Source organism: Homo sapiens, chromosome 7 (genome assembly GCF_000001405.40).
Source record: "Homo sapiens chromosome 7, GRCh38.p14 Primary Assembly".
Lineage (NCBI taxonomy): Eukaryota > Metazoa > Chordata > Mammalia > Primates > Hominidae > Homo > Homo sapiens.
In genome coordinates, this window is record NC_000007.14 from 28,208,262 (window position 1) to 28,229,213 (window position 20,952).

General features: G+C 40.2%; 1 long non-coding RNA gene across 1 annotated transcript in view; it reads left to right on the forward strand.

Annotated features, from left to right (window-relative positions):
• JAZF1-AS1 (JAZF1 antisense RNA 1) overlaps positions 1-20,952 on the forward strand; it is a 60,921-nt gene that overhangs the window by 27,805 nt on the left and 12,164 nt on the right. The window contains exon 3 of the long non-coding RNA NR_034097.1: positions 8,982-9,088. This is a non-coding gene — a long non-coding RNA (JAZF1 antisense RNA 1). The remainder of the gene's footprint in view (positions 1-8,981; positions 9,089-20,952) is intronic.

Sequence of the window (20,952 nt, forward strand, 5' to 3'; positions counted from 1 at the left end):
TTACCAAAAATAGCAGTACAATTTTTTAACAGCTGCATAATTTTCTATTGTATGCATATACCAGTGTTATTTAACCACTCTCCTATGATGGATATTTATGTTGTTTTTATGTTTTGTATTATAAATAATAGTGCAGCGAAAATTCTTCATCCACCATGTATGCATCACATATATATTACACACACACACACACACAGACACACACACACGCACACACAGGCACACACACATCTTTCTGTATGGTAAGTGTTGAGAAGTAGATTTCAGGATCAGATTTTATTATACATTTTTCTTTTGTTTTTTACTTTTGAGAGCTATTAACAAGCTACACTCCAACATACTAGCAATGTAGGAGAGCTTCACCACAGCCTCGAATTTGGGGGAAGGCAGATAGTTCTTAAAGCTATGTTCTCAAATGCATGCCATCTTGGCTTGTCTAGAAATTGTGGCCACGAGATTGTGATCAAGGTGGGGACCTTCCTGGGTAGGACCACAGCTGCTTTCAAAACCTACCATAAGATGAGTATTAATTGAGGGCTCAATCATATCCTCAAGCCCCATAGTATCTGGACTTAAAAAAAATATAGTAAGCCCATTAAGGTTATTGACCAAGTTGGAATTTAATACCAATGCTGGTCTTTCAAAGATACAGTGCAGAGAGACCTGAATGGCCTCTGAATTAGTGGGCTAGGGAACTACTTCTCCAAGAATGAAGTTGTCCACATAGCTCTGAAAGTTTTCTAGAAATTTTAGTCATGGAATAAGCTTTGTCTATTTTTAAAATGTGTGGATATTATTATTGATAAAGGCTCTAATCCAGGCAAAAGGAATAATTCTTAATCAATACCTACTGTAGGAGCTAAATTATATCACCCCCAGATTCTTTTTCTTTCTTTCTTTTTTTTTTTCTTTTGAGACAGAATTTTGCTCTTGTCCTCCAGGCTGGAATGCAGTGGCGAGATCTCAGCTCACTGCAACTTCCACCTCCCAGGTTCAAGCAATTCTCCTGTCTCAGCCTCCTGAGTAGCTGGAATTATAGGCACCCACCACCACACCTGGCTAATTTTTATATTTTTAGTAGAGACGGGGTTTCGCCATGTTGGCCAGGCTGGTCTTGATCTCCTGACCTCAGGTGATCTGCCTGCCTCAGGCTACCAAAGTGTTGGGTTTACAGGCATGAGCCTAATCCCCAATATCTCAGAAAGTGACTGTGTTCAGAGATAGTCTTTAAAGAGGTAATTCAGGTTAAATGAGGTTTCTGGAATGGGGCCTAATCCAATGTGACTGCTGTCCTTCTAAGAGAAGATTAGGACATAGATACACACAGAGGGAAGACCATGTGAAGACACAGGGAGAAGACAGCCGTCTGCAAACCAAGGGGAGAGGCTCCACAATAAATCGACCCTACTGCTAACATGATCTTGGACTTCCAGCCTCCAGATAAATTTCTGTTGTTTAACCCCCCCAGTCTGGGGTATTTGTTATGGCACCCCTGGCAAACAAAGAAAGTTAAGCATGGCTGAGGAATTGTTCATCCTATCTGATGTTAAACTGCCTAAAACTCTGAGTTAAAGAAAATATGGTGAGTGGAAACTTATTTCATAACTTACTTGCCTGCCTCTTCTCTACTTATTTTAATACAGTTCTTAAGGAGTCCATAGAGTGATTTATAGGTTGGTGCAAAAAGAATTACAGTTTTTGCCATTGAAAGCAAAACCAAAAACCACAATTACTTTTGCACCAACCGAATAATTTTGAGATGAATGAAAAAAATTTTTTTGAGACTTTCAGAACTGTGATATTTCATTATCCTTGCATTTTATGAAAGTAGTATGATATTAAATGACATGATGGACACATGACAACTAGAACTTTTTGAGTATGATTTTAAGATAGACAGGGCAGGACTTAATACTTCTCTGGGCACTGTGCTCCCTCATCATGGAAAGCAGAGTCCAGGTTGACCCTTGGTCCCTAGCACAGGTACACATTCAATACAAACCCCACACTGTACGACTGGCCATTTGAGTGGGATGGATTACACATGCTTCTTTTGAGGGAGGTGATCTGGGACCTGAATCCTTTCTCTAAAGGATTACTTAGAGACCAGCTCCTACACCTGTTAAGCTAAGATTTTGAACTTCTCACTGTGTCTCTTTCAGTAGATGAGGGTGGAATTTGGCCCAGAAGGCAGTGTCAGGAAGTGCATGCTGGGATGGTCCACAGAATACCTGTTTACCAGTGAGTTGAAGGGCTGCCCCTTTGGGCACAATTTGCAAACTGTTGACATATGTTTATGAATATAGAAAAATAAAATCTTTGCTTAATAAACTTATCTTTTATTTTACAGACTGCTTTTAAGAAAATATTTTGCCTTTTTTTGAAGACAATTTTTAAAAATCTTCATTTCATATTCTTCTGGCCAAAGGAATTTACTTTTGTTAAGCATGGGGAAAAAGCTCAGTGCTTGGGGGTCTTTCTCTTTCTATATTTTGAATTTAATGGCTTTCTGAGTCATATTCTGTTGGCATGTACTATAGATATCCATTCAAATTACTGAAGACCTGGGTGAAAATAATTTCTTGGTACACATGCCTAATTGTCATACCCATATTTCCCTAGAGCATATCACTGTTCTGAAACCATTAAGTGATTGTGCAAACTTAAATATAAAAGACAAACTTGAATAATAACAATCTTAAAAAAATTAAGATATTTATATTAGTTTTCATGCTGCTAATAAAGATATACTCAAGACTGGGTAATTTATAAAGAAAAGAGGTTTAACTGACTCACAGTTCTGCAGAGCTGGGGAGGCTTCAGGAAACTTACAACCATGGCAGAAGGGGAGGCAAACACATCCTTCTTCACATGGCAGCAGCAAAGAGAAGTGCAGAGTGAAGGCGGGGGAAAGCCCCTTATAAAACCATCACATCTCATGAGAACTCACTATCATGAGAATAGCATGGGGGAAATGCCCTCATGATTCAATTACCTCCCACCAGGTCCTGCCCATGACATGTGGAATTATAGGAACCACAATTCAAGATAAGATTTGTGTGGGGACACAGCCAAACCATATTATTATCAAACTTCAATAACTTTACTAAAAATAAAGAAAACACACCATAGCTAATTCCAAATAATTTGAGATTACTCTCAAACTTCCAATATTTTTTCAGATTATAACATAAACCTGAATTGGAAGTCTATAAAATTATTACAAATTGCAAAAACAATATGTTTTATTTTGAAATAGTTTCAAAATCACAGAAAAGTTGCAGGAACAGTTCAAAGAACTCCTATATGTACATCACTCAGAGATCCCATTCATTTCACTAATTGTCTGAATAATGTCCTTAGGGAAATGATCTAATACAGTGTCATGTGTGGCCTTTGGTTGTCATGCCTCTTCAGTCTCTTTCAATCCAGAACAATTCCATAGTCCTTCCTTGGCTTTCATGACTGTAAAATTTTAAAATCATGGGCAAGTTATTTTAGTAGAATGTTCCTCAATTTAGGGGACTTCAATGTTTCCTCATTATTAGAGCCAGGTTATGCATGCATTTTTGAGGGAATATTACAAAAGCAATCCCAAGTTCTTACATCCTGTCAGTTGGCACATGATTTCAATCTGGTGATGTTACATTTGATGTTATACTTGAGTAAGGTGGTTTCTGCCAGGTTACTTTACTAGAAAGTTATTCTTTTTCCTTTATAATGAATGTCTTTTGTGGAAACATACTTTGAGACTATGTAAATATTTCATTTGTCTTCTAACTCTTGCCCACAAATGTTAGCATTCATTGATGTTTCTTGCCTGAATCAGTTATTACTATGATCATTGCCAAATGGTGATTTTCTATTATTTCTTCTACATTTAATAGCTAGCATCTGCTAAAAAGAGGAACTTTCTCTTTTTTCCATTTATTTATTAGTTTGTTTAAATATGATTGGACTCAATGATACTTTATTCAGTGTGTTAATGGTTCAACTGGCTTCAAACTGGCTTCTATGTCCTTTTGACATGCCCCCATCATTTTTGAGTACGTCATTACTTCCTGACATTAAGTTATTGTTTAGACTGGACGCAGTGGCTCACGCCGGTAATCCTAGCACTTTGGGAAGCCCAGGTGGGCAGATTGTTTGAGCTCGGGAGTTTGAGACCAGCCTGAGCAACGTGGCGAGACCCCATCTCCACACACACACACAAAAAATATAAAAATTAACTGGATGTGGTGGTGCCCACCTGTAGTCCCAGCTACTCGGGAGGCTGAGGTGGGAGGATGGCTTGAGCCTGGGAGACAAAGGTTGCAGTGAGCTGAGATTGCACCACTGCACTCCAGCCTGGGCAACAGAGAGCCAGACCCTGTCTCAATAATAATAATAATAATAATAATATGTTATTTTTCAGACTCAAAAAAAGCAGAAGCAAATTGTGCTTTTGCTGCACCAGCCCTGAAATCTGTCTTTCTTTTTTTCTAAGATCTCTTCTGTTAGTGGAAAATGGTTTCTAGAAATCTGTAAGCTATGTAGGCTTACTGCTATTGGCCTATTGCTGCTTCCAGGATCTCTCAGTGGACAGAACAAGGACAGAACATTGAAACATCTAGATTCATTTTTATATCTATCTAATTATATATATATATATAAGTTTATAGCAGTTCCTCCACTTCAATTCAAACACAATCGTTTCACCTTTTCATATTTAAAATTCTCTTATCAGGCAGCAAAGGAACCCGGCTGCATAATCCTCAATATACAGTTATCCCTTCATATCCATGGGGAGATTGGTTTTAGGCCGTCCCAAGGATACCACAATCTGCAGATGCTAAAGTCCCTGATCTAAAATGGCATAGTATTTGCATATAACCTAATCATATCCTCCTGAATACTTAAAAAATTATTTTGGAGACACGGTCTCTCTCTGTTGCTCAGGCTGGATTGCAGTGGTGCAAGCATGCCTCACTGCCATCTCAACCTCTGGAACTCAAGCAGTCCTCCCACTTCAGCCTGCTGAGTAGCTAGGACTACAGGCATGTGCCACCATACACAGTTAATTGTCTAAATTTTTTATAGAGATGGCATCTCACTATGTTGCCCAGGCTGGTCTCAAACTCCTGGCCTCAAGCAATCCTCCCCTCTCAGCCTCCCAAAGTGCTGGGATTACAGACATGAGCCATCATGACCAGCCTGTCTGAATACTTTAAATCATCTCAAGATTACTCATAATACTAAATACAATGTAAATGCTATGTAAATACTTGTTTTACTATATTATTTGGGGAATAATGACAAGGAAAAAAGTCTGCACATGTTCAGTGCAGATGTTGTTTAAAAAATATTTTTGATGTACAGTTGGTTGAATTCACAGATGTGGAATCTATAGCTAGGGAGGGCCGACTGTATTTATTTGTTCAGTCCCCCTGTATGCAACAAATCCTTCAGCCTGCTGGGCCACCACCCACTCAACTACTTTCTAACTTTCCTTCTTCTTGGGCATCTCCAGTGATTTTTAAAATGAGTGATTAAGTAGAAAGGAAAGAAAAAAGTAGTGAGAAAAGGAGGAGGAAAAGAAGAGAGAATAAAAATAAAGAAGGAAGGATGGATATTAATTGTTAATATTGATCATGGAAAAGCATGTGAGTAGAAAATTCATGAATTAGGGAAAGAAAATACAAACTTAGGGATCTGCCTGGTTGAGAAGGTAGTTACTAGGTGAGACTAGGTTGTGCTGCAGTAATAAACTGAATTTTAGGTGATAAAGACCCTAAAATCTTAGTGGTTTAAAACAATGCATGTCATGAGTGGCTCTGCAAGGTAAGTGCTCTCTGTGGGGTGCTCAGCGCTCCAGTGTGCTTTGACCTCATCATCCCTCTGTCTTAAGATGTTACCATTGCCATCCAAGCCTTCAGGGATCACTGAGGTGGGGGAAGAGAACATGTGACCAGCTCTTACATACTTCCTCATGGAAGAGACACACATCAATTCTGCTCACTATTTATTGGCTAAAGAGTCAGGTGACCACTCATAATTTTAAAGGGGCAAGGAAGAATAGTCTTCCCACTGCCCATAGTAGCAGAACAGAAAATGCTGGTAAGCACAGGGATAGTTACCACAAAAGCTGTTTTCTCCCAACTGTTAGGAAAAGCTAGCAATATTGAGACTATTCAGAGTCATCTTTTTTTTTTTGTAAAAAAATTTTATCATGTCCCCTTTGCCATAAATATTCTTGAAACCCAAGATAATTAAGATAAAGGTCACATTATAGATACCAAGAAAATCATCTGAAAATTATTTACTTTGACTTTACATGGAACTGAAATCTGAATTTAGAGATGGTTCACATCGTTTCCACTCTGAAACACTTTTTAGTAAAGATTGAAGTCACTGATTCTAGAATAGGGCTGCACATTAGAATCACTTGTGGAGATTTATAAAAATTGCTGCCTGAATGAACCTTGTTCTTGGAGATTCAGATGGAATTGGCCTGGGTGGGGTCTAGACAGCAGTAGTTTTTAAAACTCTCCAGGTGAATCTAATGCAAAAGTCAGGCTTGGAATCTCTGCTTCTAGCCCTGACACCATTGTACTCCCACTGGTCCTTCAGCCTGCATGTCACTTCCTCAAGGAAACCTCACCAACTCCTAAGTCTAGTGATGTGCTCCTATGTCTCTCTATGCTTTCTGTCTTATTCTCTTTGGAGATGGAGTCTCGCTCTGTAGCCCATGCTGGAGTGCAGGAGCACGATCTCAGCTTACTGCAACCTTCGCCTCCCAGGTTCAAGCAATTCTCCTGCCTCAGCCTCCCAAGTAGCTGGGACTACAGGCGTATGACACCATGCCCTGCTAATTTTTTTGTATTTTAGTAGAGACAGGGTTTTACCACGTTGCCCAGGCTGGTCTCCTGAGCTCAGGCAATCCACCTGGCTTGACCTCCCAAAGTGCTAGGATTACAGGTGTGAGCCACCGCATCCGGACTTCTGTTTTATTCTTTATCACACTGTGCTCTGTTTGCCTGGATGCTTTGCTATATTTAGCTGTAAGCTCTATAATGGTAGGGACATGTGGTCTTCATTTTTTGAATGCACAGTCCCTGACATAGATGCCTACCTAACACATAGTAAATGCTCAATTAATGTGCATTGAATAATTAATACATAATATTGGATTTAGAACTTTCTTTATATTGCTTCCTGTTCCAGTGTAAAGCTTGGAAGGACAGACATAGGGTTAGGAAATTAGTTTATTTGGATCCTTTATGAATAACTGATAGATATGGACCTCTTTTAAAATGATCCCGGACTATGTACACAATGAACATTTGTAAGATGGAGTAAAAGCAGAAAGTAGGCTAGGTGCAGTGGCTCATGCCTGTAATCCCAGCATTTTGGGAGGCTGAGGAAGGCAGATGGCTTGAACTTAGGAGTTCCAGACCAGCCTGAGAAACATGGCAAAACCCTGTCTCTACAAAAAATATTTACAAAAATTAGCCAGCGTGGTGGCACACTTATGGTCCCAGCTACTCAGGGGACTGAGACGAGAAGATCACTTGAGCCCAGGAGGTTGAGGCTGCAGTGAACTGAGATTGTGCCAACGCACTCCAGCCTGGGTGACAGAGTGAGATCCTGTCTCAAAAACAACAAAACCAAAAACAAACAAACAAAACCCACAAAAATGGCAAAATAAACAACAACAAGAAGCAAGTAAACATTTGATGCTTTTCAAAAATGATTGTTTGAACTCATTTACAGGTTAAATACACTGGGAAATTTTCTTAAGATAATCAGAAATGGCTAATCTATTTGCCTAAGCATGTTGTAGCTGTATGCCTTTAGATAATAATTATAGTGCCTGCAAGGTAAAGGATAAACTTCTCTGTTATTCAAAGACCTTTGCAATCTCTTCCCAGCCTGCCTTTCTAACTTCTCCCAGCTGAGTGAAGGTGGAAAGAGAGTACATTTTGAATTCAGAAGCCTCAGAGTCAAATTGCTGTTCCACAGTATTCTATCTGAGAATCTTAGGCCTGTTTCTTAATTTCTCTGGGCCCCAATTTCTCCATCTGTAAAACAGGGAAAAAGGAGCTACCTCTCACAATTGTTTTGAAGGTTAAGATATTGCATCTGATGGTGCTTTGTAAAGTGCAAAGCCCACTGCAAACAATTCTTAATATTAGTTGCCAAACAGAGTTACTGATAGGTGTCACACTTTAGATGAGTACCTGAAGTTTCTCAACCTGGCGCCTTCCCCGGCTGAGAGTACTTTTTCTTGTCATTCTATCTATCCAGTTTTTATGCTCAGTAGTTATTAGTCTCCTTCCCTCCCTTCTTGAATTGTTATTTCTCAATACGTCTGGGCAATGGAACTCAAGCCGTGATGCAGTGATGGGAGGAAGATGCAGCAATGGATTGTCTTTTCTGTGGCACTGCAAGTGGAGAACAGGGTAGGAAAGAAACAGTAATGCCTGCAAGCATCTGCTCACTAATCTCAAAAGTGCTATTTACTTTTAATTATTTATTATAATACTTCAAAGCATATTTTGTAAAATTAATAAAGCCTGAGTAATTTGAAACCTCTCCATTTAGCTTGCCAATACATCTTTGCTGAGAAATGCAGTTGAGTGGAATTCTGAGAGAACGATTTGATCTATGGGCCAGGGACAGAAGGATTACTGAGGATTTTTATATGTTCTTAGAATGCCTTTCTATTTCAGGAGAAAAATAAAACAAACATAAAGCAAACTCCACTTCATAGAAGCAAGCCAAGTTATACCAGAAAATCTCTTATTACTTAGCGAAAAAGAGAATTTCTACTCTAAATCACACTCCTTATGTTTACATATATTAAATATAGAATGAAAAGAATTTAGAAAGCAAAAACAATGTTTATAAGTGAACTTTTAAAATCAGACGCAGACATGTAAATGAAAATGTTACCATTGTATGAGGACCTATGTTAATTTTTGCATAACGTTTGTTTCCAGGGGTTCCTGTTGAGATTAAAGTAAATGCATTTACCAGCATACATGTCATGGAAGACTGACTCTGCACCATGCTCTGTGACAAAAGGCTTCAAGATTAAACCGGTTTGGTAAATCCTCTTCTTGGAGATGCACAATGCATGTCTGCCTATTAAATCTCTGAGTGCTCCAGCAGTAGAGATCCTGTTGAAATTTAACTTTGTTGTTCTTAAATTTCCTTGACTGTGGAGCCTTTTAAAACAATTATTTCACCTATTAACAGCTGAAAACATGCTGTCCTTTGGAGTACTTCTTGGGAAGCTCTGAATGACGTCAATTAAATACATTCACTTGCCCCGCTCATCCACAGTGTCCTTTCTGGAATGGCCTTGCAATAACAGTTAGGTAAAATTTTACATAAAGCATAATGTGCTTTAAAACTAGTCATAAAAGGATTTTTCTTGGTAAGAGCTTTATTGGGATATAATTCATATAACATACAATTCACCCATTCAAAGTGTACAATTGCATGGTTTTTCGTATCTTCACAGAGTTGTGCAAGCATCCCCATGGTAAATCTTAGAACATTCTCATCGCCTCAAAAAAGAAAATTCATTCGTTTTAGCTATGATCCCCTATTCCTCTATCCCTCCACTCCACCCCTAAGGAGCAACTAATCCATCTTCTGTCTTTATAGATTTGCCTATTCTAGATACTTTATGTAAATGGAATCATACAGTATGTGGCCCTTTGTGCCTGGTTTCTTTCACTCAGCGTAGTGTTTTCAAGGCTTTCATGTTATAGCATCTATTAGTACTTTACTCCTTTAAAGTTTTAAAGATGGACAGAAGCCCAGGAAGGTAAGAAAGTAAAGAAGGGCAGGGTGGTGAGTTGGTGCCCTGGGGATCCTTGAGCTTGACTAGGATAGGAAATGCCCTGCCTGGGAGAGAAATGCCATATTCTTTCCTTTCTTCCATAACTTCTTATGGTTTGGGCTCCAAATCTTTTTACACACACAGAGTTGATCTCCTTTGCAAAATCTGCTTCCTGAAAATTGCTGGTGGATCAACACTGATGCTTTTCTTGGATATGAGGGCCACAAGGCTTGCACCTGTTTCTCAAAATGAGTATCTGAAGTTTGAGACGCTTGTATTTGTTTCCTGCTTATTTTACAGACTTGAAGAGGGAATTTCCAAGGGGATTGCATGGCGCTTCAGTTAAACCTTTGAAACCCCATCTCTACTGAAAATACAAAAAATTAGCCAGGCATGGTGGCGCATGCCTGTAGTCCCAGCTACTCGGGAGGCTGAGGCAGGAGAATGGCGTGAACCCGGCAGGCAGAGCTTGCAGTGAGCCGAGATTGCACCACTGCACTCCAGCCTGGACGACAGAGCGAGACTCTGTGTCAAAAAAAAAAAAAAAAGAAAAGAAAAAGGAAAAAATGCTGCTTCTCTCCTGAGGCAGCTACTAGAATCATTGTAGGGATATTGCATTTTGTAAAAAAGCTCATAAAAGTTTTCAGCAGTTAGCTCATAAGAGCTCTGGAGGTGAGAAGAGTTCTTTTTCCTAACAGAGTAGGTGAGTCAGGGTCTGGGTACAGAATTTATCACCCCGCCAATGCTCTTCCCAAGAGGAGAAAAAAATGAAAAAAAAAAAAAAAAAAAGAATGTGAATGTTCCCAAGCGCTCGGGATTAAGGTTGATTTAATCTGGTTGCTTCTATTTTGCCATGTTGTGACTTTCACGTGCATCCCATTGCCTGATGCTTATAAATGATGGTTGCGCATAATGTCCCATCTTTTGGGTGCAGAGTTCAAGGACCCTGAAACAGCTGTAGGGGGTGTTTTGGACCCTGGTCTAGCAATGGCCTCAGAAGATTCTGATAGAGGTTTGATTGGTCACTTTACAAGGAACACTGGTCTATACTTAGTCTCTGTTACATGCAGGGAAATATTGATTCTGAGGCATTGAAGTCACAGAACTTAAGATGCTTTTATCCACTAATTCGGCCAACGTTCCTTGAATGCTGCTGTTTCTACACAATAGGGATATAGCATTAAACAAGACAGTCCCTGCCCTCGTGTAGTTTATAATCTGGCTCAGATTCCTCTAAATCAGAATTGTCTAATGTTTCTTGTGGATGCTGTGAAATGATCAAGATGTCTCAAATTAACTCGTTTCTGACCTGAGCTCCCTAGACAGACCCCGCATGAGCAGGAAGAAGCATTCTGTGCTATGTGTCAGCCACTCCTTTGGATGTGTCACATGCCTTTCTTCTTTCATCTTCCTGACAAGCCTACAGGTAGGGTCTTGTTACAACTCTCTGGTGGAAGAAGTTGAGGCTCAGCAAGGTTTATTAAGAGACAGAACCAAGATTGACTCTAAGACTGTCTACCTATTCTCTTTCAATGAATCAATGCTACTCCAACAAACTGAAACACTTTGATATTGACCCCAAATTCAAGGGATGCCCAAAGGAGCACTAACAGGTGACAACAAAAAGTGTGTTCAATTCAACAGTAATAACAGAAGGCATTTTTGTGCCTTGAATCCTGTAGCGTGGTGGAAACAGCATAGGCTTTGATAAATCAGTGAGGATCACATTAGTCTCCAATCAATTAAAATTCCAAAAATAGAGGCTTAAGATTTAAAAGTATTTTCCTGTAAAAGGTGGCATGTAATTCCTTGGTCTTCAGGGTCAAAGGCTCTTCCAGCTTTCTGTTTCCTTATCCTCATTGTCCAATATGGCTGCTAGAGCTCCAGATATCACATCCTAGTTCCAGGCAGCAGGAGAAGGGAAAGGCTGAAAAGGGGCATTGCCCCTTCCCTTTGGAAGACTTCTCAAATGTTTTACATAATACTTTAACTTCCATCTCCTTGGTTAGAACTTAGTCACATGGCCAACCTAGCTACAAGGAAGAATGGAAAGTGTGATCTTTTAGCTGGAGAGCAGTGTACCCAAATGTGAATTGAGGTTCTGTTACTAAGAAGAGGAGTCTTGTTACCAGGAGGTAACTAACAGTCTTTGTTGTAATATATTCTATGCTTTTTAATTATATGGTAAAATCTTAGCTACAGCTTATTAACTGAATTGATTGCATTTTTTGCATTCACTCGACAAACACTAATTGATGCCTACTGTAGGTATTGTGTTAAGTGCTAGGGATGCAAAGACCAATAAGACACAATAGGAACTCGATATTATCAAAATAAATATTAAGGGTGATGACTAAGGGATGCAGGGTTTCTTTCAGAATTCTAAAATTGATTGTGGTGATGTATATACAACTCTATAAATATACTACAAATCATTGAATTGTACACTTACATGGTGAATTGGATGATATGTATTCTATCTCAGTAAAACTGTTTTAAAAAGACAATGTGTGCCAGAGTAGAAAGGAGTCTGTATGCCAATGCTTAGGAGATTCGTGTCAGTGCAGAGAATGGATTAGAGCAGTGGTTCTCAAAGTGTGTTCCTGGACCAGCAGCATCCGCCTCACCTGGGAACTTGTTAGAAATGCAGCTCCTCAGGCCTTACTCTTCATCTGCTCAGTCAGGAACACTGGGGGTGCGAGCAACAATCTGTGATTGAACAAGCCTACCAGGGGATTCTAATGCACGCTCAAATTTGAGTTTCTAGATTAGAAAATATGAAAGGACTGAAGGAGAGCATTTAGGATGTTACTTCAGTGAACACCAGTGAAATGACAGTGAACACTGGTGACACTGAACACTGGTGGCTTCAAGTAAGGATAAAGAGACAGATGTGGAATTATTAGCTATAGCTGGAAACACTTCTAAAAGGGTCTTAATATACTTAACTATTAAAGTGATGAATCAGGAGGTAATGGCCAAAACTGATGAAAAAGAACTAGAAGTCTATGTAAGCATATAATGAAGGTAACCTATAAAGGAACTAGAGTGATAGTCATTAACATTTTGGAGGAGGGTAGAAAAAGAATAATGAAAATGAATGACGTTTTTGCCTTTCTGGCAATCTCTTGAATATTCTTGAATCTTTTGAACAATAATCTCTTAAATTGACAAGTAGATTTTTGAAAAAATATATAAACTTATTATGTAAGGAAGAACTAAACCCAGAAATGGTTAGGTTTCCTCTGATGAGGTGGCCAGGGTGGAGCTTTTAATTATCTGCCCTCCTGCACGTTTAAAAAAGTGCAAAAATAGAATGTTTATTTAAAAAACAACCACTTAACTCTCTAGGTAGATTATACTATTAGTCTCACTAATCTGATCCCCCTTAAGACATCAGCTACAGTTTATGAGTAAATTTGAAAAACCAAGAGTTTTAAGAGGTAACGCCAGAGAATTAAATTTAATCTGAGAAAAAAGTCATCTAACAGTAACACAAATAATCTTGGGTGTTTCTAAAGCCCTATAGCTGGTATCTTTTCGGTGTGAGTTAGTACCTGAAGACTCATGATGTTCTAGTTATTTTTCTCTCTAATTTGAGTTGCTCTTGTCCTGTCTCTTAGGTGTATAACATCTCTCTCAAGAGATTTGTTTCACTGGGTCCACCCAAGTCAATAGCATCCACAGGTTCCTTCAGGTGCTAAATTCTTTGTGCTATTATACTTCATGGAGATGAGCATCCCAGGAAGCCTGGGCCGCATTTCACTCAGGCCTTCAGCCTCATCATTTCTCCAAAACCTGTCCCTTCAAGGCCCAAATAATCTTTGTGCTTCCAGTCTCAAAGCTCATTTCTTGGTGTACATCTTATTCAACCTACCAACCCCAGCTGACCATTTATTCATTGACTATATCTTCACTTGGCTTCCAGGACCCTACTACCCTGGTTTTCAGGTTTTCTTGATGGCTTCTTTTTAATCTTCTGTGTTGCTTGCATCTCTGAACCTTGCTGAGTCTTAGGGATCAGTCTGAAGATCTCCTTTCCTCTCTAGCTTCACTCACCTACTCATTCCACAAATGATCTCATGTAAGTCTCATGACTTTAAATACTGTCTATATGCTGGTAACAACCAACATTTTATCTCCAGCCCTTACCTCTGAACTTACACCTCCAGCTGTCTATGTCATGTCTCCACTTGGGTGTTTAAGTACCCATTTCGAATGTGGCATGTTCCAAAACACTCCCTCTGCAAACTCTTATTCTTTTGCAAGCTTTCCCAGCTCAATATGTGGAAATGTCCTTTTTCCAGCTGCCTAGGTCAACATGGACTCATTCTTTGTCCCTCTCTTCCTCTCATTCCTTAGGTGTGATCCATCAGTCATACTGCAGCTTTCCCATCAGGTATATTCAGAAGATGACCACTTCTCAACATCTCCACTATCACAACCCTGAGTCAAGCAGCCATCATTTCAGCCTAGAGTATTGCAATAAATGGTCTCCCTACATCCACCTTAGTACCTTCTCAACTAATTCTCCACATAGCAGCCAGAGTGAGTGTCTTAAAATATGCACCAGATCTTGCCACTTCCCTGCTTAAATCACCCATGACTTCCATCTTACTCAGAGAGAAAGCTAAAGTCCTTACATATTCCCCGGAGCTGTGGCCTTATCTAGCAAACAATACCATGGTTTTCTTTCCCTAATCAGTGTTGGTTTCACTCTGTTCTTGATAAATCCTTTTCCTGCCGCTAGCTATCTTGAACATATAGGCCACTGAACACAGAAAATTCAGTGAAAGGAAGTGGCTGAATCAGTGTATTTTAATCTGCTAAAAACAAACAAAAGGTTAAAAGAAGAGTAGAATTTATGATACCCTATTAATGAGGAATGTGTATACGTACAGCAAGTAATAATCTCAGTCTATAAGCATAGATATTCCAAAGATGTAACTTTATTTTTCTACAATTCAGTTTATATCTAGAGCAGTGTGCATCCTGTAGAACCTTCTGAGATGATGGAAGCATTTGCTGTCTGCAGTGTCAAATAGAGAAGCCATCTAGTTTCTTGGACAGGACAGATCCAGAGCCCCCATTCCTCCCAGTGGTGGAAAACATAATCAGTGCAGGGCAAACTCAATCAAAACAAGGATTTCTGTTATTTTAGGGGACGTCCCTCCTCTCTTTATCCCTAGGTTGCATCTAAGTCTTACAAGGCTCCTTGAGAGTTTCTGGTTCTCAATCCTCTGTCATCTGCTGAGCAGTCTGAGTTCTTATTGATCTCTGGTCATTGGTCTCTCAGGTGACTATCTTCTGGTTTGCCGGCCATCCCATAAGTTTTTTTAGGATGAGAATGTACACTACAGGTGTTTTTATTTGTGACCTTATGGGGTATGTGAGTGTGTGTGTGAGTGCTAGATAAATATGCATTTGCTCTAAATTTGAGAATATTCAATTCTGCTATAGAAAATAGAAATGGATGGTGATACTCTTAAGACGTGTTAAATATAGATAAGGAAGTTAGTAACTTGTGAGATGTGTTAAATGTAGATAAAATAAGTAGGGCTTATGCATACTGAACATAGATAGGGAGAGATGGAAGAACTAAGAGACACCTAATTTTCACAAAGCGCTAAATATACATGGGGTACCAGAGGCATCTAATTTTCATGATACACTAAATATACTAGAGGTATGTGAAACCCTTTATATTTATGACATCTGAAATTGATAACCCATTGGTGACACCCATTCTGACTCCAAATGTCCTCTGCCAAATAAAATCCACAGCTGCTCAACAGGCTAACTAGTGAGGAATAGCTGTAGCCAGATATAATAAATACATGTGTTTCTCCTAGAAAACAATGTCTGTGCTGGTCCCAGGCATATTCTGTGTCTTGGGCCTCTTTGCTCATCTTTGGTCCTTATAGCCTCACCATCAAGAGGGAAGACTGATGGTGTGGGGAGAGCAATGTCTATGGGTCTTTCATAACCCAGGTTTTATGTAGTGTGGTCCTTCTACCTTTCCTGCACCCTTTCCTAAGTACATTACCCGACCCCATTTCTTTTCTCCTTTTTATTGATGTGTGGATAAATTGATTTAATAAATTGTGTGCTTTGAGTATTTTAATTTGGTCTCTGATCCTTTTTAGTCCTGCATCTCTGGGGTAGCTTGTGCAACAGTGTACTGGTAGCATAGAGGCTATCATGGCATCAAGGTAATTTCCCTCATGACACTGGGGGTAGATGGGATTGAGACTGCCTCAGGGTGACTCTGCCCAGACAGGCTGTGCTATCATCACTATCTACTGCTGCTGCTCTACCACACTGCTGTGGGAGAGGGCAAGAAGATTTGGCTCTTCTGTGAACCCCAACTAAGGAGTGAGACATAGCCCTTGATCATGCTCAGATTCCCAAACTTACTAGGGGGTTCTATCTAGCCAGACTCGGCCAGGGGCAGGAGTCACTCCTTCTCTGGGACACCCACCAGTGTTTCAATAGCTTTCCTCCTCCTCCTCCCTCAGTATGGAGGGTCTGTATGTCCTTTGGGAAGCACTGTTTCCAAATCTGTGGCTAATAGTATAAACTTCATGCCTCTAGTCCTTAAGTACCTTGGTTTTGATTCTCATAATCCAGGCTTTTGAAATTCAAAAATCTTTTTTGAGTTAAACTTTTTGAGTTTATTGTCTCTAGTTTAAAAAGTCTATTTCAAAACTCTACTATGGCCTGAATGTCTCTCAAAATTCCTCTTCATCCCCACTGTGAAACCTGATCCCCACTGTGGTGGTATGAATAGGTGTGGTCCTTTGGGGAGTGATTAAGGATTAGTGCCTTATAAAAGGGCAGGAGGAAATTAGCTTAGGTCCCTTTCTGCTCTTCCGCCCTTCTGCCATGTGAGGACACAGCAAGAAGGACCTCACCAGACACTGAATGATGGCATCTTGATCTTGGAATTTCCAGACTCCAGAACAGTGAGAAATAAACTTCAATTAAATTACTTAGTCTGTGGTATTTTGTTATAGCAGCACAAATGGACTAAGACAAAGTTATTTCTCTTTTCTATCTCTGCATTTCTGCCATAGCAACCCTACTGTGAGGGCAGGCGCACACCCACATGCACACACAGACACACACACACACATACACCCGACATCTCTGCTGCCTGAATTGGAGGAAGGTTGAGGGTAGGCCTGGAATACTGGGGAAAGAATAAGCCTAAGTCAATATTTCAAATCCCCATTCTTCCCCATTTGCAAAGGACTGCATGTAGCTATGAGTGAGTTGTCTGGACACAGGGTTTGGAGGACTCTGCAGGCTGCTCCTTCTTTGTGTCTTAGTCTACTCTCCTGCTTGTCTTTATTTAGCAGCAGGATGGACACTGGCAGTTCCACAACAACATTATCAGTAGAGTTCAGTCGAGTTCAGAGGATGCTTTGATGTCCCTCTGGATCTGAAAATATCTTTCTTACCTTCTAAGTTTGCTTTGGTTCTTCAACGGAATGGAGATAGCATTTATTGATAACCTTCCACATGCTGGGCATCACTTTCCAAGAGGCCCCTTTTAAAATGTAAATTCCCTCTGGCAGGGAAAAACCCTTAAGCCCTCATTATCTAACCCCTAGAATTAACTTATTAGAACCATTTCCATCTGTCATAGCCAGCTGCGATCAAGGCCGTGTGAGACTGGCATCAGGATAGCTGTCCTGGGGAGGGCCCTGGAAAGGGGAGGGAGCAATGAGAGGGGCAGGAGTGGAAGACCTTCCAAATCAAAGTTTATCTGCTCCACAACATTTGCCCTGTGGTAGCCCTGAAGTAATTGATGTGCTAATTAAAATCCCTGTAGATTCATTAAAGCAATACCGAGAAAATCCCTGCTTTGCACTTAGGTTGTCTAGACAGTAGTTTGGGTATAAATATGAAAGTAATGAAACTCATTGCTTTAACAAAAATTATCCCATTTTGGCTTTTTCTATCAGTCCAAATGATGAGGTTGTAACTTCATTTTAATGCTTAGAAGTGCAAAATAGTGATAGATAAGAGAGAGGGTGTGGGTTATATACGCAGGCTGGCTTGTGATTTACAATTTGTATTATACAGACTAGCCACAGATGATCAATTAGCATGCATGAATTAAAATGGCCTATTCACACAATGAGATACTCCTCAGCAATAACAAGGAATTACCAATTTATACAACCATGTGGATGCATCTTAAAAACTTGTTGAGCAAAAGAAGCCAGACACAAAGGAATATACACTGTATGACTCCATTCACATGTTCTTAAATGGACAAAACTCATGTACAAAGAAACAATCTGAATAGTGCTTGCCTCAGTGGGGGTAAGAGGAGAAGATTAAAGCATGAGGGGACCTTTTAGCTAGGTAGAAATGCTATCTTGATTTGGGTGTTGATGACAGGATCTACACGTTTGTCAAAACTACTAGAATTGTGCACTTCAGATATGTGCCTTTAGCCCCATGTAAATTATAACACAATGAAAACAATTTAAAAAACATTTCCTGGCCTTTTTTTGAGCTAGCTTTCCTTGGCTGACTGCATGTTGGTTTGGTGTCTGAGGTAACTAACAGCATAGGTATATCTAGCATAAAGCCAAAACTGCAGATTGTGTAACATGCAAATTGCTTTAAGTCGAAGAGCTAAACATTTAGGGTTGCTCACATGTGATGTTATTAATCACTTTATTATGTAATACTTGCTCTGAAATACAGGCAACACAAGCAAATTCCATCAATATTCTTTTGAACTTTTTATTTATTCAGTGTGTGTGTGTGTGTGTGTGTGTGTGTGTGGTTTTTTTTTTTTTTTTTGGACGGAGTCTCACTCTGTCATCCAGGCTGGAGTGCAGTGGCGTGATCTCGGTTCACTGCAAGCTTCACCTCCCGGGTTCACGCCATTCTCCTGAGCCTCCCGAGTAGCTGGGACTATAGGCGCCCACCACCACTCCCGGCTAGTTTTTTTTTTTTTTCAGTAGAGACGGGGTTTCACCGTGTTAGCCAGGATGGTCTCGATCTCCTTCCTGATCGCTTGATCCACCCACCTCGGCCTCCCAAAGTGCTGGGATTACAGGCGTGAGCCATCGCGCCTGGCCCAGAGTGTTTTTTTAATAGGAAAAGTGTGGTCCATATTTAATCTGTGCTTCATTTAAATCCATTCTTCAAATGGCTTACCTCTTTCTCTTTCTTTTCTTTTCTTTTCCTTTTTCTTTCTTTCTTTCTTTCTTTCTTTCTTTCTTTCTTTCTTTCTTTCTTTCTTTCTTTCTTTCTTTCTTTCTTTTCTTTCCTTCTTTTCTTTTCCTTTCCTTTCCTTCCTTTCTTTTTTTTTTTTTTTTTTTTTGAGACGGAGTCTCTCTCCGTTGCCCAGGCTGGAGTGCAGTGGCGCGATCTCAGCTCACTGCAAGCTCCGCCTCCTGGGTTCACGCTGGGACTACAGGCACCCGCCACCATGCCTGGCTAATTTTTTTGTATTTTTAGTAGAGACGGGGTTTCACCATGTTAGCCAGCATGGTCTGGATCTCCTGACCTCGTGATCCGCCCGCCTCAGCCTCCCAAAGTGCTGGGATTACAGGCTTGAGCCACTGCGCCCGGCCTCCCTTCCTCCCTCCCTCCCTCCCTCCCTCCGTTCCTTCCTTCCTTCCTTCCTTCCTTCCTTCCTTTCTTTCTCTTTCCCCTTCCTTCCTTCTTTCTTTTTTTCTTTCTTTTTTTTTTTTGAGACAGAGTTTTGCTCTTGTTGCCCAGGCTGGAGTGCAATGGCGTGGCTGGGCTCACCGCAACCTCCACCTCCCGGGTTCAAGCGATTCTCCTGCCTCAGCCTCCCGAATAGCTGGGATTACAGGTGTGCGCCACCATGCCCAGCTAATTTTGCATGTTTAGTAGAGATGGGGCTTCTCCATATTGGTCAGGCTGGTCTCAAACTCCCAACTTCAGGTGATCCGCCCGCCTAGGCCTCCCAAAGTGCTGGGATTACAGGCGTGAGCCACCGCGCCCTGCCAACTTACACTTTTCTAAGCTACTCCCTATATACCACTTTTGCTACAAAAAAAGTAAATTAACACAATAAAATAGTTTAACTCTGGCCCTGTAGTGTGCTACACATAAAAACTCACATACACCTCTAAATCTCTTTCCAAGATGCTATTGGAGAGTATTTCCGTACAATTGGCATGTACCTGATTGGAATGTTCTGGAGCTTTGATTAGGCTTCCCCTTGCCCCTTTTGTTTATACAACGTCTACAGTATAGGAGTAGCTGCATCTTAGGGTAGGTGAGGTCTCCTAGAAAACTGAACTGAAGTAGTTGTTTTGAAGGCTGAAGAAATTCCGAAAGACCTATAGCGTACATTCTCATCCTAATATTCCTTCTGTTCTGATTGAGAATAAGGATCATGATTATTTTCATTATTCATCTGCTCCTCTTGCTTAGTCCTTTCCTGAAGTCTTAATCCTCTCCTTGAGACATCCCAGTTGGTTGCCATGGAAATGATTATTTTGCCACAAACACAGAATTATGACCTACAGTAAAGAATAAGCAGCAGAAGCCAATGAACTCTTGGAAAATAACTCAGTCTTGCTGACACTAAAAGAAGACTAACACTATTAAAACTGGAAGCAAAGTTGTCCAAAGTTTTTCATGAGGCAATAAGTTATCATGAATTTTTCTCAAATAATTATTAGATCAGTTGTTGAAGAATTTATGGTTTGAACATATTTATGGGCACTAATACCTTTACAAGTTAAAGTCCTTCCAAAATTTTGAACCTAAAGGTTCAAAGCAACTAATGATTGATATTAGTAATAATCATTTAATTGTTTCTGACCTGTCATACATACTCAAAAAGTACAGTTAAAACTCTACTTCAGGCTGGGCATGGTGGCTCATGCCTGTAATCCCAGCACTTTGGGAGGCTGAGGCGGGTGGATCACCTGAAGTCAGGAGTTCGAGACCAGCCTGGCCAACATTGTGAAACCCCTTCTCTACTAAAAATACAGAAGAATTAGCCAGGCATGGTGGAGAGCACCTGTAATCTCTGCTACTTGGGAGGCTGAGGCAGGAGAATTGCTTGAACCCGGGAATTGGAGGTTGCAATGAGCCAAGATCGCACCATTGCA